General features: G+C 37.1%; 1 long non-coding RNA gene across 1 annotated transcript in view, besides 5 other annotated features; it reads left to right on the top strand.

Moving 5' to 3' along the window:
• LOC105377209 (uncharacterized) overlaps positions 1-17,092 on the top strand; it is a 70,327-nt gene that overhangs the window by 1,471 nt on the left and 51,764 nt on the right. The window lies entirely within an intron of this gene.
• Positions 1,784-2,283: an enhancer, noted in NCBI's record as "H3K4me1 hESC enhancer chrX:52005305-52005804 (GRCh37/hg19 assembly coordinates)". NCBI's record gives its function as "activates a minimal SCP1, AML or CMV promoter by ChIP-STARR-seq in naive H9 embryonic stem cells {active_cell/tissue: H9 hESC(naive)}" and the evidence as "EXISTENCE:reporter gene assay evidence [ECO:0000049][PMID:30033119]".
• Positions 2,284-2,785: an enhancer, noted in NCBI's record as "H3K4me1 hESC enhancer chrX:52004803-52005304 (GRCh37/hg19 assembly coordinates)". NCBI's record gives its function as "activates a minimal SCP1, AML or CMV promoter by ChIP-STARR-seq in naive H9 embryonic stem cells {active_cell/tissue: H9 hESC(naive)}" and the evidence as "EXISTENCE:reporter gene assay evidence [ECO:0000049][PMID:30033119]".
• Positions 2,284-2,957: a biological region, named in NCBI's record as "H3K4me1 hESC enhancer GRCh37_chrX:52004803-52005304".
• Positions 2,598-2,957: an enhancer, noted in NCBI's record as "active region_29643". NCBI's record gives its function as "activates an Ori minimal core promoter by ATAC-STARR-seq in GM12878 lymphoblastoid cells {active_cell/tissue: GM12878}" and the evidence as "EXISTENCE:reporter gene assay evidence [ECO:0000049][PMID:35858748]".
• Positions 2,653-2,911: a silencer, noted in NCBI's record as "fragment chrX:52004677-52004935 (GRCh37/hg19 assembly coordinates)". NCBI's record gives its function as "represses an EF-1alpha promoter that drives an FKBP-Casp9 reporter gene in an ReSE screen in HepG2 liver carcinoma cells {active_cell/tissue: HepG2}" and the evidence as "EXISTENCE:reporter gene assay evidence [ECO:0000049][PMID:32094911]".

Genomic DNA, 17,092 nt, shown 5'->3' with positions numbered 1-17,092 from the left:
TTTGGAACTCCCTTCCACTTCTCTGACACACCTGTCACATGTAAGATAAGGCCCTTAGAAGAGAGACTGGGATGAGACACTGTCTCCATGCCTTCTACTCCCCCATGACTGGAACAGAACATTCTTTTGTTTTCCTTATCTTTCATGTTGACATAAGGATTCCCATATTAAATCCAGATCATAAAGGGAAGGCTTTAGGATTTGTACTTTCTCTTGTAGAATTCAAATTTATTTGGAATGTTTGAAGGAGATTGACTAACAGATAAAGAAACACAAAATGGAAGGGATTACCAAATACAAGTCAATACACTGTCAGTAGCAGGACAAGCTCTCTGTAAAAATAAACTTGGAGTTCAAAGGGAGTTGTATTAGTCAGGGTTCTCTAGAGGGACAAAAGTAATATATATATATCTATATGGGAGTTTATTAAGTAGTATTAACTCACACGATCACAAGGTCCCACAATAGGCCATCTGTAAGCTGAGGAGCAAGGAAGCCAGTCTGGGTCCAAAGCTGAAGATCTTGGAGTCTGATGTTCGAGGGCAGGAAGCATCCAGTATGAGAGAAAGATGTAGGCTGCGAGGCTGAGCCAGCCTAGTCTCTTCACGTTTTTCTGCCTGCCTTACATTCTGGCCGCACTGGCTGCTGATTAGATGGTGCCCACCCAGATTAAGGGTGGGTTTGCCTTTCCCAGCCCACTAACTCATATGTTAATCTCCTTTGGCAACACCCTCACAGACACACCCAGGATCAATACTTTGCATCCTTCAATGCAGTCAAGTTGACACTCAGTATTAACCATCACAGGAATCATCACGCTTTAAAAGGGGCCTACAAGGTGCTGCATCAGCGGTTTTTATATGTGTGTACAGAGAGCGTCACTTCTAAGCTATCTCTCCCCACCATTGTCTGGTAACTCCTGAGACTACTTGAGCATCAGAGACAAACTATCCTGAAGCTTGTGGTGTGTTCGCGGAGTTACAAGGGCAAGCTCAGGTGTCTGTTCATGTCTGTATTAGTCCTGAAGCTTTGTGGAGGCCTACATGACCTATTCATTAGCTAACATCTTCCTCATTCTCCCTCAAATTTATTGTATTTATGCCACTTAAAATATCAATAAAATAATTTTATGATTAAGAAGAAAAACAAGGCAGGGCAAAGAGGAGAGAAGACAGGGAGGGAAATAAAGAAGGAGGGAGGAGAGTAGCTTTGAGAAGGAGGGAGGTGTCAGATGTACTGAAGGCATCTGGACATATAGTGTAAAAGGATGAGGACGTGATCATAGTGTTAGGCAATATGAAGGCCATCGGTGCCTTTAACAAAAGCATTTTTCTGTTGAGAGGTGAGCAGGTAGAAGCTGCATTGAAGAGGTTTGTAATGATAATGATTATAGAACAAGGGAAGACAGATTTGCTGCTTGGAGCATCAGGGAAATGTGTCATTACCTTGGAGAAATATGGGATAAGGAACTGATTTCTGTTTTATTACATTTTGTATAAAATGTCAGAAACAAGAGCATGTTTATAGATGACAGAAGAATCCAGAATAAAGAAAGAATGTGACAATTCAGGAATAAGGGATAATCACTACAAAAGTCTCTACCTTGAGAAGGTAGAGGGCATGGGATTCAGGTGAAGGCCCGGCCTCAAGTAGGATCCTGTCACTTCCTCCAGTGGGGCAGCTGAGATTACAAGTGCAGGCCCACTGCTGTTGGGAAGTGGTGAGAGTTTCTCTCCAATCGCTCCTGTTTTTTCAGGGGAATATCAAGGAATATCATGAGAAGAGTTGGTGCTAGTCCTTGTGGGGGCTATTGTAGGGAGAGGAGAGAGAAGGTACACTTGTGGAGGGTGCACATTGTTTGTCTACTTGGTTACAGGGGGGCGGGGGAAGGCAGGGGGTTGCCAGGCGAGTAGGGAGGAAGGAAAATGAAGAGATGCGTTTGAGGAGCGAGAGTTAATAGCTTTGAGTAAGCTGGGTAAGGAAGGTGAATGGTGAGGAACGCGGTTGGGGTCAGTGGACAGGCCTCCTTGAGGCTGAAGGCTGTGGATGCTGGGACATTGGAGAGAGGGAGCTGTTAGGACTGGATGGGGTGCTGCCCATGATGAGAGTGCGGGATGCAAGAAATAGACATCGTGAAGGGGCGCGGTCTTTCCTGAGGCCCAGAGCATTACCGCGCGCGGAGGAGACTTAGGTGGGGAGGAGGAGGCCCCCTCAAGACGGAGGAGAGCCGGCCGCGGCCTGGTCAGCCCCGGGGGCGCTGAGGTCGCCGGGGAGGATCCGTGCTGTGAGGGCTGAGAGGAGGACAGGGCGTGCGTCACATGAGAAGCGTGTCCAGGGGCTGGCTGGGAGAGTGTCCATGGGATTGGCACAGGTCTCGAACGTGAGGCGGCTGGTGCAGCCATGCAGTAGAGCCTGGCCTTCAGCGGTCGCGAGCCTGAGCCATCAACTCTCAATAGCAGGGAAGGAGTCCTGCGGCTGACCCTGAGGAGACTAGCGCCTACCTCCCCGGACTCCGATGCGCAGGCCCAGAGCCCGTCAATCCTAGGCCAGCCCCGCCCCGAGAGCTGCTTTTTCCGGTGGCGCAGGAACTTCCTGCTGGGTTGCTATGGTTCCGAGGGCGGGACTATGGGAGGCTGCCTTGTACGGCCGGTTCGTCGGGGCCTGTCTGACCGGTACTAGTCTATTCTCTGGTCCTCATCTTCATTCTGCGTAGCTTCCTCAGGTTAGCTCTACCGGCTCTTTGCCGAGAAGCAGTAGAAAGGATGAATTTTCTTCCGCGGTTGGTGGCGCTTCATTCTTGTGGCCTGCAGGTGGCAATATTGCTCCATGGATACGCCCAACTCGCCTCTCCCCCCGCCCTTCTTGCTTGAAAAAAATGCCGCGGAATCTTTTTTGAGAGAAGAGGTTGGTTCTTAAACCTGCCAAGTCCTGCTGCTGGGGCTGCCTGTTTTTTAGGGGGTGAAGCGGAGCGGGTAGTGTCTCTTAAGAAAACTCAGAGCTGATGAACAAAATCTTTTTGCTTTTGAAATTGGCATTCCTCTTGAGATGATGCCTAGGTTCCTTAGTAACTTGTATTTTGACTTCTCTCAATGGTCTTGTCATTCACTGTCCCCAGGTTGTACTGGGCTTTGTGGACCTGGTTTTATATTGATAAATGCACGCACTCTTTTATTATGGAAGTGACTCAACCTCACTGTAGAAAATTTGGAGGACAAATACAGTGTAATAAAGAAAGCCAGTCTTACCCTCAGTCCCATCACCCAGCAATGACCACTGATAATATTTGTTGTTTCCTTAGAGTTTTTCATTCCCAAAGGTGCATTTTAAACACGAGTTCATATTCCATCGTTAGTTCATCTTTTTTAAACTCAGATTTTCAGTGTGAGTTACCGTGTCCTAAAAATCATTTGAAAAATGCTTGAAAATTTTTATTCATTTCCCATTCTAAAACAATACACAGTCTAGAAGCGTCGAAAAAATACTTAATAACTGAAATGGAAAGCAAAAATAACCCCTGACCCCCTATCTCATTGGTAAATGTGATCATGTAACCTTTCTAAGAACAGAAACTGTGATTGTTCTGCTTTGTTTTTGCTCACCATTGCCTTTTCGGCAAACTGACAAGAGTGTAGAGGAGTGTTCTTAACATACAGTTTTGAATACATGAACAAGTACCTTATTTCTTCCAGATGTTTATCTTTGTAAATACGGTGTATTTTTAAATAATGTTTGGATGATACTGGATGAAACAACGTGGCTTCCCCCTCACCCTTCCACTTAGCACTTTATTGTGAGCATTAAATTATTACCATTTTGAAAAAAGTTTTGCTGGCTGTTTTACACTCTACCCAGTTTGTCTTTTATTTCATTCTTGCACTGGAGGCAGGAAAACGTTCTGTAAACCAGCGTATAATCTTGTGTATGATAGACCGGTGATCTGAACGCCAGTGCCCTCTTTGAGGAACCCCAAGAACCTTGGCAATTTACTGCTTCTTCCTGTATCACAGTTTCCACGTGAGCAAAATGAAGGTTATAATAGCACGTGCTTCATGGAGGATGGTGGTCACCATAAATAGCACAACAGGTTCTTAGTTCCTGGCAATTGTAGACATATAATTATTGTTGTTGTTATCTCCAGTATTCACAACAATGTGTGTATTAGGATTTGCAATCCATGAGACCGAGTTTGATAAAATGTACTCTTCAGATTTACATAGAGCTGACACCTTTCCTTCAATTTCCCATTTCTGCCTTCTAGTAGAAAATTCATACTACTAGTTTTTAGGGCCATTCAGTCAAGGAAATGTGTAGGAGGAAAGCACATTGATAGATTTCTTAAAGTTTATCCCTTCATTAAATGAAAAGAATACTTTTGCACACATATATTTTTTACCATCTCTGATTATTTATAATAGATTTCCAAAAATAGATTTACTGGTTTGAAAGGCATGATCGCTTTTAACTCTCTTGGTGCATTGCAAGAAACACAATACCCATTTATATTGCCACTGACATTATGTGAGAATTCTTGTTTTTTTTATACCCTAACCAGTATTTATCAATGTTTTAAAGATAATTATCTTAATGATTGTAAGTTATATGTCAAGATACTGATCTTCCATTCTGTCACATACATTGCAAATACTTTTCCTGGTTTTTGCTTCCTAAATGTGTAGTTTTCAGAGGCATAGATAATTTTACTTTTATGTAGTCTTCTCAATCTTTTTTTGTGTAACTTCACTCTATTCTTAATAGAAGGCTGAAAAGGCTCCCTAACCACCTGTCCTGTTACTTATTTTTATCCCCATTCTTTGTGATTTCAGTTTCCTAAGTTACGGTTGGCTGCCAACTACTTGGCAAAATCTGAGAGGATTTCCTACTGACTAAGAGGCTGACTGAAATGGCTTCCAGATTTACATTAGTTAACACACCTTTTAGTAGAACCTGGAGGTGCTAGAACCTGGTGTGACAAGGCCAAATGGGTTACCATAAATGAGGATTTAGGCTAACCTTGATGCCCTATAGATACAAGAAGGTCTTTTAAATGGTATATTGAAGTTTATCCCTCTCACAGTTACTGGGGAACAGTCTAACCCTATTGACAGAGATGGAATGAATCTTTATTGTAAATCACTTTAAAGAATGCTCAGGGTTGGGAATTAATGCTAACATCAGCATTGAAATTACCACCTTTTTTGTTAATAGCCCTAAGCCTGAAATATCAGCTGCTGTTCAGAAGCAGAAAATAGGCTGGCAGACAATACCCATTCATGAGTTACAACAATTAGTCCAGCATTTTGAGGATACCCTGAAAAACAAAGATAAAACTACATGCAAAAACTTGCAACACTACAGCTTAACTTGAGGGAAACAAAAGACCCTCCACAAATACAAAACAGATAGGCAAGAATACTTGCATATATTGGGAGGAGGATGTTACTATGCCTACAATTTTATTGCTTTGACCAGGACACAAGCAGCCCAAAAAGCTGCTCGATTGGAAACAATATGATTCCCAAGGAATCTGTCCTTAGTGTCTCCAATTGCTTTTGATTTAGCAAAGAGAAAGAACTCTGTTAGTAAATGGCCATTGTATTAATCACGGTTCTCCAGAGAACCAGAACAAGTGTGTGTGTGTGTGTGTGTGTGTGTGTGTGTGTGTATTTTAAGGAACTGATACATGATTGTGAGGCTGTCAAGTCCAAAATTGCAGGTAGGCCAGCAGCCTGGAGACCCAAGGGTTGACCTTGCAGCTTGTGTCTGAAAGCTATCTCCTGGCAGAATTCCCTCTTCCTTGGGTAACATCAGTCTTTTTTCTATTAAGATCTTCATCTGATTGGATGAAACACACCACCTACATTATGCAAGGTAATCTGCTTTATTCAGTCTATTGTAATCTCATTTTAAAAATATCATTATAGAAGCATCTAAAGTAGTGTTTCTATGGCCTAGCTAAGTTGACATAAAATTAACCATCACGGTCATCTACTTTTTTATAGACATTGGAGCCACAGTCTTCACCAATAGTTCCTCCCAATTTCTTTCCAACTTACCTTGAAGTAATAAAGAGATTTCAGTGGTGTGACTTACCAGTTGAATATATTCTTTCTCTTTACCCCTTTGCCCACCTCTTTAGGTAACTTCACATCTTAACTTGCCTTTCTCCTCAGTCTTTCCACCCAGTCCAACCTATCAGGATAGGATGTTTTGGCTCAATGAGGAGTCATGATTAGGTGCATATCTGAAAGATTTTTTCTTGATCTCCCTGAATGGGATGACCCAATGTACCATCTTATGGTGGCTTCCCTTTTCTATCCTGCACTGTTTCCAACTCTCTTATCCCTAGAATAACCTTAATTTTCTGATTTGTTTTTTTCAGTACCCCATATTTTCTGGTCCACATCATCTGCAGACATGGGGTAAATAAGTAATATTAAAGCCATACAAGTCAATACTGACACCATAATGCTTCTGCCTAAATTGTCCCAGTATCTCCTAAAACTGTAAGTGTTGGAGGGAATACAGCCCATTGTTGCAGATTTCATAGCTAAGGGCTTACTCATTCCTTGTACTAGTCTCTGCAGCACCCCATCTCCAGATAAGAAGTCCAAATGAATGTGAATAACTCTATGAATAAAGATTTAAGGGATATAAATTACATAATGTACACATTTCCCTTGGTCCCCAACACAAATATTATCCTAGCTTTTCTGCCTCCAAATTGAACATAGTAGTAGGTCTCTCTTTAGCCTTTTTTAGTATCCCCTTTTCCTTACTCCCACTGTCTTTTTTTCACATAGAATAAACAATACGCTTGGACTATGATGCTTCAAGGCATCACTGAAGTTCCCTCATATTTCTCTCAGGTTTGCAAACTAAGATACATATAAAGAAGGGAAAAGCATCAGAGAAGAAATAGTGAAGGTAAAATAACTTTATTTTCCTTATTAATTGGTCGAACAGATAACAGTTTGTTCAAAATAATAATAGCAACAGTATATCCAGTTATGTATGCTTATGTGTAAGCACATATGCTTATGTGTGCTTATGTATAACTGAAATGAGTGATAGCTATTATAGAAGGGACCAGAGGAAATAATTAGAATATTTTATTATTACAAGGTATTCAGACTACCCATGAAGCAGTATAGTGTTATTTGAAAGTGGACTTAGATTAGTTGTAAGTACATATTGCAAACTCTCTGGCAACCAGTAAAAACAGTTACAAAAAAGAGGTATAACTGATATATTAGGAAAGGAGAGAAAATAAAATCATATAAAATGCTCAAAGCCACGAAAGGTAGAAAAAGAGTGGAAGACAAAAATCAGAACAAAGAACAAGGGCAATGAATAGAAAACAGTAGCAAATATGGTAGCTGTTAATTCAACTATATAAATAATCCCTGTGAACATCAGCCTTCGAAATGCACCAATTAAAAGACAGAGATTGACAAAGTGGATCAAAAAACAAGACCCAAATATATATTGTCTCAAGAAATGCACAATGAATATGATGACACATACAGATTAAATAGATGGAGAATTATATGCCATGCTAACACCAATCAAAAGAAAAGAATAGCTGTATTAATTTCAGAGAGTAGACTTCAGTGCAAGGAAAGTTATCAGGAATAAAAGGGGTATTCCAAATGATGAAGGGTCAATTTTTCCAGAGGACGTAACAATCATTAACATGTATGTGCCTAACAAGAGAGCATCAACATATGTGAGGTGAAAACTGATAGAATTGCAAGGAAAAATGGATGAATCCACCATTATAGTAACAGACATCAACATCTCTGTATCACAACTGACACATTCAGCAGGCAGAAAACCAATAAGTATGTAGTTGAAGTCGATAACACCATAAATCACCTGGTATGGTGGATATCTATAGACTACTTAATGCAACATTAGCAGAATATACCTTCTCAAATTTTTATGAAACATTCACCAAGCTAGACTCCATTATGGACCATAAAACATACCTCAACAAATATAAAAGAATAGAAATCATACAAGTATGCTCTTAGACCAAATGGAATTAAATTAGAAATTAGTAACAAAAAAGCTGGAAAATCTTCAAGTACTTGGAGAATAAATAACATAATTCCGAATAACACATGTATCAATGAAGAAGCATCAAAGAAATTTAAAAATATTTTAAATGAAAATACAGTGTATTAAAATTTGTGGGATGCAGTGAAAGCAGTGCTCAGGGGAAATTTGTAGTATTGAATGCATGTATTAGAAAAGAAGAAAGATCTAAAATCTATAGGCTTTCACTGTAGGAAACTAGAAAAAGAAGAGTAAATTAAATCCAAAGTGAGCATTAAAAAAATAAAAAGTAATGCAGAAATCAATGAAAGTGAAAATAGAAAATCAGTGGAGAAAATCCATGAAGCCAAAAGCTGGTTCTTTGAAAAGATCAATAAAACTGACAAGACTCCAGCTAGGCTAAGAAAAAAAAAGAGAGGAAACAAATTACTAAAATCAGAAATGAAAGAGGGGACATTGCTATAGATGCCATGGACCTTAGAAGAATAATAAAGAAATACTATGAACAACTCCATGCCCACAAATTTGATAATCTAGAGAAAATGGACCAATTCCTTGAAAGATACAATTTGCCAAAACTTACAGAAGAAATAGACAATCTGAATAGGCCCATATCTATTTTAGAAATTGAATCAATAACAACCTTCTAAAACTAAAGCATTAGGTCAAATTGAGTTCAGCAGTGAATTCTGCCAAACATTGAAGAAATTTTACCAATTATTTAGAGTATCTTTTAGAAAATAAAAGCACAGGGAATACTTGATAATTCATTCTATGAGGCCATCATAAACCTAATACCAAAGCCAGACAAAGACATGACAGAAAATTATAGACCAATATGTCTCATAAACATAGATGCAAAAATTCTGAAATTTTTCAAATTAAATCCTACAATGTATCAAAAGCATTATACATCATGACCAAGTGAGATTCATCCCAGGTATGCGAGACTGATTCAACGTTCAAAAATCAATTAATGTAATTCATCACATCAACAGGCTAAAAAAGAAAAACCACATAATCATATCAATAGACAAAGAAAAAGCATTTAACAATGTCCAACACCCATTTATGATAAAAAAAAAACTCTCAGTAAACTAGGAATAGAGAGGAATTTACTCAACTTGGTAAAGAACATTCACAAAAACCTGCAGCTAACATTATACTGAGTGGTGAGAAACTACAAGTTTTCCCACTAGATCAGGATTAAGGCAAATAGTTCCCCCTCATCACTGCTTTTCAACATCATACTGGAAGTCCTAGCTAATGTAATATGACAAGGAAAAGGAATAAAAGGTTTGCATAACAGGAGAGAAAAATAAAAACTTTTTGTTCACAGATGACGTGACTGTCTCTGTAAAAAATTTAAAAGAACTGACAGAAAAACTTCTGGGACAGCTAAGCAATTATAGCAAGTTGCAAGATACAAGAAAAATCAATCACTGTCATATATATCAGCAGTGAACAAGTGGAATTTGAAAATAAGAGCACAATATAATTTACATTAGTATCCAGAAAAATGAAATGCTTACATATAGATCTAGCAAAATATGTAAAAGATTTATATGAGGAAATGTACAAGTCTCAGATGAAAGAAATCAAAGAACTAAATAAATGTAGAGAGATTCCATATTCATGGGTAGGAAGACAATATTGTCAAGATGCCAATTCTTTTCACCTTAATCTATAGATTCAGTGCAATTCCAATCAAAATCCCAACAGGGCGATTTTGCTGGATTTCCATGGAAATTTACAAATTAATTCTGAAGTTTCTGCTGAGAAAAAAAATGTTGGAAGACTGCCCAACTTTAAGACTTACTATAAAGCTGCAGTAATCAGGACAGTGTGGTATTGGTAAGAGAACAGACACTTAGGTCGATGGAATAGAATAGAGAGCCCAGCAGTAGTTCCAATACAAGTATATTCAATTGAGCTTTGACAAAGGAGCAAAGGCAATACAATGGAGTAAGGTAGTGTTTTCAGCAAACGATATTGAAACAACTGGACATCCACATGTAAAAAATGAATCTATATACAGAACCTACACCCTCCACAAAAATTAACTCAAAGTGAATCACCAACCTAAATGTAAAATGCAAAATTATGAAACTACTAGAAAATAACATCGAAGAAAATCTAGATAACCTTGGGTTTGGTGATGACTTTTTAGATATAATGCCAAAGGTACATTCTATTTAAAAAGTATGGGTAAGCTGGACTTCATTAAAATTTAAAATTTCTGCTCTGTGAAAGACACTTTTAGTAGAATGAAAAGATAAGCCACAGACTGGAAGAAAGTATTAGCAAAAGACACATCTGATAAAGTAACGTTATCCAAAATATATGAATAACTCTTTTTTTGTAGTTCTTTTTTTTTCTTTTTTTTAAATTATACTTTAAGTTTTAGGGTACATGTGCACAACGTGCAGGTTAGTTACATATGTATACATGTGCCATGTTGGTATGCTGCACCCATTAACTTGTCATTTAACATTAGGTATATCTCCTAATGCTATCCCTCCCCCCTGCTCCCACCCCACAACAGGCCCGGGGTGTGTGATGTTCCCCTTCCTGTGTCCATGTGTTCTCATTGTTCAATTCCCACCTATGAGTAAGAACATGCGGTGTTTGGTTTTTTGTCCTTGCGATAGTTTGCTAAGAATGAATAACTCTTAAAACTAAACATTCAGAAAAAAGACAACTCTATTAAAAAATGGGCGAAAGACTTTGGCAGACACCTCACCAAAGAAGATACATAGATGGCAAATGAGCATATGAAAAACTGCTCAACATCGTATGTCATCAGGAAAATAAAACTTAAAACAACAATGAGACGTCATTATATACTTATTAGAACCACCAAAATCCAGAACATTAACACCAAATGCTGACAAGGATGTGGAGTAATGGGAACTCTCATTCATTGTTGTTGGTATAGCCTTGTAAGGCAGTTTGGCAGTTTCTTACAAAATTAAACATATTCTTACTGTATGATCTAGCAGTCAGACTCCTTGGTATTTACTCAATAAGATGAAAACTTATGCCCACGCAAAAACCTGCACATGGATGTTTATAGCAGTTTTATTCATAATTGCCAAAAGTTGGAATCAACAAAGATGTGTTTCAGTACGTGAATAGATAAACTGTGGTACATCCAGACAATGAAATACTATTCAGTACCAAAAATGAGCTATCAGGCCATGAAAAGACATGATGAAGGAAGCTTAAAATGCATATAACTAAGTGAAAGAAGTCAATCTGAAAAGACTACATACTGTATTAGTTTAAATATTTGATAGTCTGGAAAAGACAAAACGAAGGAGACTATAAAAAGGTCAGTGGTTGCCAGAAGTTAGAAGGAAGGGATGATAAATAGGCAGAACACATATTTTTAGAGCAGTGAAATTATTCTGTATGATACTATAATGGTGGACACATGTCTTTATACATTTGTCCAAACCTATAGAATGTACAACGCCATATGTAAAACCTAATGTAAATTATGGACTTTGGGTGATAATGTGTCAAAGTAGATTCATTGGTTGTAACAAATGTACTACTCTGGGGGGGGGGCGGATATTAATAGTCAGGGAGGCTGTGAGTGTGTATACAGAGTTCTTCCTGTTCAGTTTCGTTGTGTACCTGAAACTGTTCTAAAAAATAAAGCTGGTTAAAAAAAGTCACATACCAATAAGTTTTAAGTTTATCATGTAAGTGAGGTTTGAAAGAATTCTGATGGGAGTATGTTTTTAGAAAATCCCTAATATCACTCTGTAAGGAACAGACAAGAATTATGGAGACCTCCTCTTTCAGGTAGGGAATATCATAACCTGCTTCATTTGTCATTGTTAAAATGTTTATCTTGGGAATCTTTTGAATATTTCATGATGAAGTATTCATGCCTTTATCTGGGACACTGGAATGTTATCAGATCCTTTCTCTTTAGCAAAATTACTCATGCTCATATTTTTAATTTGTTGGATAAAAAATCTACTAAATAGGTAACCTTACATTTAGGAGCCATGAATGTATTAGTCCCCTGGCACAGGTAAATATTATCAACTATAACCATTAAACACCAAGGTGTGTGTTAATAAAATAAGCTGCAATATGTTGTGAATGTTTCTCAAGTTATATGTTGTGTTATAATTCACCGTGAGTCAGTATTGTTAACACAGTCCGATACTGAGTCTTTTAGCCAAGTCTTTCTTGTAGTGCTCAGATGAACTTAAATAGAAAAATGCATCCCATCCAGAAACCATTTTACCACATCTATCTTAAGTTTGTCGTGAGGTCTTTCATTCTCATTTTCTGAGCATGTTTTAGGGAATACTTAGTGCATTACCATTTCTCTAGGGTTCAATTTGAGTGATGGCACCATGTGATATGAGTGTGATCTCAGTAGTGATTTTATTTTGGGATGGCAGATGAATGTGGGCATGAACAGAGCCTATGGGAACAGAGAACTGATTTTCCAGTAGTGAACAAACTGTTATAGAACAGGCAGCTTAGGATGGATTATAGAGACTGTAGAGAAGACACCACCTGTTCATGTGGAAGCATATTTGGAAACTGATCACCAAAGAGAAGCTTATCTCATCCTATTTTGACTCTATTCACAGTTGACATTGACCTGCATGAGATTTTGTGACAAGGAAAAAATTATCTATTTATCTAATCTATCTATCTACCTACTTACATACCTATCTCTATCTATCTATCAATTAATCATCTATCTATATTGGTAAGTGGTAGTGATAATGCAGGACATCTGGGCTACCTCTAAGTAAGGAGAAAATTTGAAATACAAGACTTAGTGATAGCTGGAAGGCATGTCTTAAAAGTGAGTGATATATGTTTTCTATGTGAAGGCAATTGTAAAATGTGAATGAAGTACATAAAATAACATTGTATGCAAGGAAAGATGATGATTATTTAGATATGGGGAAGTAATTACTGAAGAGGACCGTAAGTGGCCAATTCCAACAGAAGCCAGTGAGTGAGTCAGCCATGGGATGTATTTGCAATTTGGATCATATAAATGTCAAGTTCAAAGTTCTGAGGGCTTAAATGAGGCCCAAATGAAGACAACCTGTTTTTGTGAGATCAATTTAAAAACCAGAATACTGGCTTCCTGTTATCTGAGGTTGATGCATGAGCCCCTGAGGAAAGAGACAAGGGTGGGGGAACCACTGGAATTCAGGAGGCCTTGACCATCTTCACATCAACAGATATTTACCTTATCCCTTCATGCATGGAATCCACCAACCATGCCTGAAAACACCAAGTACTGACCTCTAGATGGTAGCATGATTAGGGAATGGTTTCATGTGATGCTTCAATGTGAGTTGTGACATTCGGGTCACCATCTATACCATCTATAATGGAGTGAGAGACATCCAAATGTATATACTGGTGAGAATCTGACAGTGTGGGGCTAGTATTTGTCCAGAGGACACAAAAATGCCCCACTTTTACCCTACACTGCTGCTCTGTCTCTTCCCAGGGTTTTCTCTGAAGGAGACACGCACACAAGGACCCTGAATATAATTCACGGGGCCAATTCCCATGACCCTCAATGCAGAGATCTCAGGCCAAGCTGGGTTGAAGCACAGGCCCAGACTCAAGAAGGAAGCAGGGTCTCTCCAACTCTCTAACTCTGCATCTTATAACCAGTTGACCCCTAGTGTGTGGAAAACAGAGTCCCAAATCTCCAGTAAGAAGAAAGGAATAGGGAGTAATGTGGCAGAGCCCAGCCTTCATAGTAGGCACTGGCTCAGCTTATCACTTTGGTATTGTGAGAGGGAAGAGCATGGCCATGTCCTACACGCATGGGTGTCACATTGGAAGGTGGTACTGCTGATAGTGCTCCTGAATCTGACCCATCACATCAGTCTTCCCTTGTCCAAGGGAGGAGTGACAAAAGGGCTTGGGAGAAAAGCTGTTTTCTGTAAGATTAGGAATACTGAAAAGAGAAACCTGCCCCTACCTCCAGTGACCTGGAACTATAGATAGAAACTGGTCTGAACATAGAGAAAGTAGGATGTGTGTAAAAAATTGATTTTGCTATTAAAATCTCAAATATATCAAATCTGAAAACTTAAAATGTGGGTCAGTTGACAAAACCAAAGGTAAATTCACAAAAGGAAATTTTCAATAGAAAATTAAAAAGGAACAAAATCTTGCATATACATGCCCAAGATTTTAAGGTTTTTAATCATAGTGTTAATAAGCTACATGCTTTGATTGACAATATATTGTTACACTTACAATATATAACAGGGTGAGTTATACATAAATTTAAAAACAGAACAATGACTTCATAAATTTATTAGAACATTTTTATTGTTTTAAAAATCAAGCACTGGAATTGTTTTAAGAGCTTGTAGCAAAAAACATCAAGTACTGCAAGAAAATATGAAGGCAGATAAATTAAATTAAATCAAATTGCAACCTCCAGAATTAGCTAGTTCGGACACTGGGTCAAAATCATTACAAATATCTTTTTATTCACTATGAAATAAATGGATAGACTAGTAGATAGCCAGAAAGAGAGATAATTTTACAGAAATAAATTTTACAATGATGAGCTTATACTATATGTGCTATTCAAGTTTTTAAAGTACTAGATTTTATTTTACTAGACTACGATAAAATAAAGGGAAGGAGAACAAGAAAGAGGTGAATCTTTAGTTAATAATTTCTCTAACTGAAAAGATATTCATTCCTGAAAGTTTCCTTCAGGGTTAAGCTAAAAGAATTTCAAAAACAACACCAGTTTGGAACCACAATTATTTTTAATGACCTTTAAGAATTTATGCAAAAAAACAGGAAATTCCTTGCTTTGGAAGATGAAATTTCAGGAGGATAAGCTCCTTGTACTTTCTGCCACACTGTCCTCTGCCTTCTAATTTTTCACATACATTTAGTCATTACAGTATGACATATGTAAAAGTATAGAAATTATAAGTATATTGCTCTATGAAATTGCACAGTGAACATACCTATGTAATGACCACTCAAATTAAAAGTTAGTATAATGCATAATTCCCTACAAGTCCCCTTTGTTTCCCTTCACAGTTCTCAGTTATCTTGATCCCTCTCCCACAAAAGTAACTACTATCCTTACCTCCAATGGCCTTTTTTTGTCTGATTTTAAATTTATGTAAGTAGAATCATATGATATGCAGTCTTTTGTGTTTAGCTCCTTTAGCTCAACATAATTTTCCCATGTTTTATTTATGCTCTTGGATATGGTAGTTTTTCAGTCATTGTATTGCTACAACGTATTTCATCATATGAATGTAGGAAAATTCATTTATTAATTCTACTCATTGTGTCTGCAATATTATATATTGTGCTGTATGAACAATCTTGCACATATTTTTTGGTGATAATTATACTCGTGTGTGGATTTCCCTAAGTATTTACCTGTATGTGGAACTACTAGATCATAGGACATTGCATACATCCAGCTTTCTTATATGCTACCAAAGTGGCATGTAAGTCTCAAAATGGCCATATAAATTTACACTCCAATCAGCTGTGTATCACAGTTTGTTTCTCCACATTCACTAAAATTTGGCATTTTTTTCCCTTTTAGCCACTCAAGTTGACACACAGTGGCAATGTATAGGTTTAATTTCCTGATGCCTAATGATGTAAACCATGCTGTCACATATTTTTTAGTGATTTGGAATATTTTGTGCAGTGCCTGTTCTACACTTTTGCCATTTTTTCTGTTAATTTGTTTGTCTTCTTTATGTTGATTTTTGGTGTTCTTTACACATCCTTAGTAAAAAAAAATTTTGGAGATATGTATCACATAATATATCCCATCCTGTGGCTTGTATTTTCACTCTCTTAATAGTATCTTTTGATGAACAGAAGTTCTTCATGTTAATTGTAAGGAATACAATAATAATCATTTTTTATTCTTTATACCCTGCATATACACATATATAAACTTAAAAATCTTTAACTTTTTGACTGTTTGGGCTTTGTTTAATCTTCAAAGTGGAAATTTTACAAACAACATTACCCGATCACAATGTAATGAAACAAAAAATTATAAATAAACTAAGAAAGCACACAAGGCCTTCCGACTGGAATTTTAAGAAAAGTCTGTTTTAAAACTCGCAGGTAAAGTGGGAAGTACAAACAAAAATGATAGGATTTCTAAACAAAGAATAATGAAAACACTGTGTATGAGAATCTATGGCATACATTTAAAATGATGATCAAAGAAAAAATATCTAGTCTTATACATTTTCATCAATAAAAATGAAGGAATGAAAATAAATTAATTGACCTCCCATCTCAAAAAGCTAAAAAAAGCAATCAAATAAACCAAAAGAAAGCACAAGAAAGAAAATAATAAAGAAAAAAGGAGAAAGTAATGAGTTAGAAGAGAGATAAATACTAGATCTATAAATGCTAGATGTATTAGTTAATTAAAATCATAGATTTTTAGAAAAAATAAAGTAGGCAACACACTAGCTAACTTCACTGTATTAACAACCAGAGAAATTACAAATATACAATCTAAGCTATAATGGATAATAACAGTTAAAATGAGAGTACTTTTTTAAAAATCATAAATATTTCTTTCTGATACTCTATGCATATAAAATTGAAACCCAAATGAAATGTATAATTGTTTAGGAAAATACTGTGTGTCAACATTGACTCCATTAGAGATGGAAAATTTAAACAGACTAAGTTTCATAGAAAGAATAAAATATAAATTTATAACTATCCCATTAAAATCTCCAAGCCAAGACGGTTTTAAAGGGGAATTCTCCCTATATTCAAAAACTAGATAGTCCCAATGCTTCATTAACTATTCCAAAGCGTTGAAAATTATGGGAAATGTCATAGTTGTTTTTATGAAAGCAACTAAAGCATTGATACTTAAACTGGGCAAGACAGTATCAAAAAGAATAATACAGGTAGACATCACTTATTAATATTGTATATTACACGTACCCACACACCCTTCATACTAAAACTCATCGTCTTTCTTAATGATGAA

This window comes from Homo sapiens, chromosome X (assembly GCF_000001405.40).
Source record: "Homo sapiens chromosome X, GRCh38.p14 Primary Assembly".
Classification (NCBI taxonomy): Eukaryota; Metazoa; Chordata; class Mammalia; order Primates; family Hominidae; genus Homo; species Homo sapiens.
Note: the sequence above shows the minus strand (reverse complement) of the source record. Positions and strands in the feature narration are given on the sequence as shown.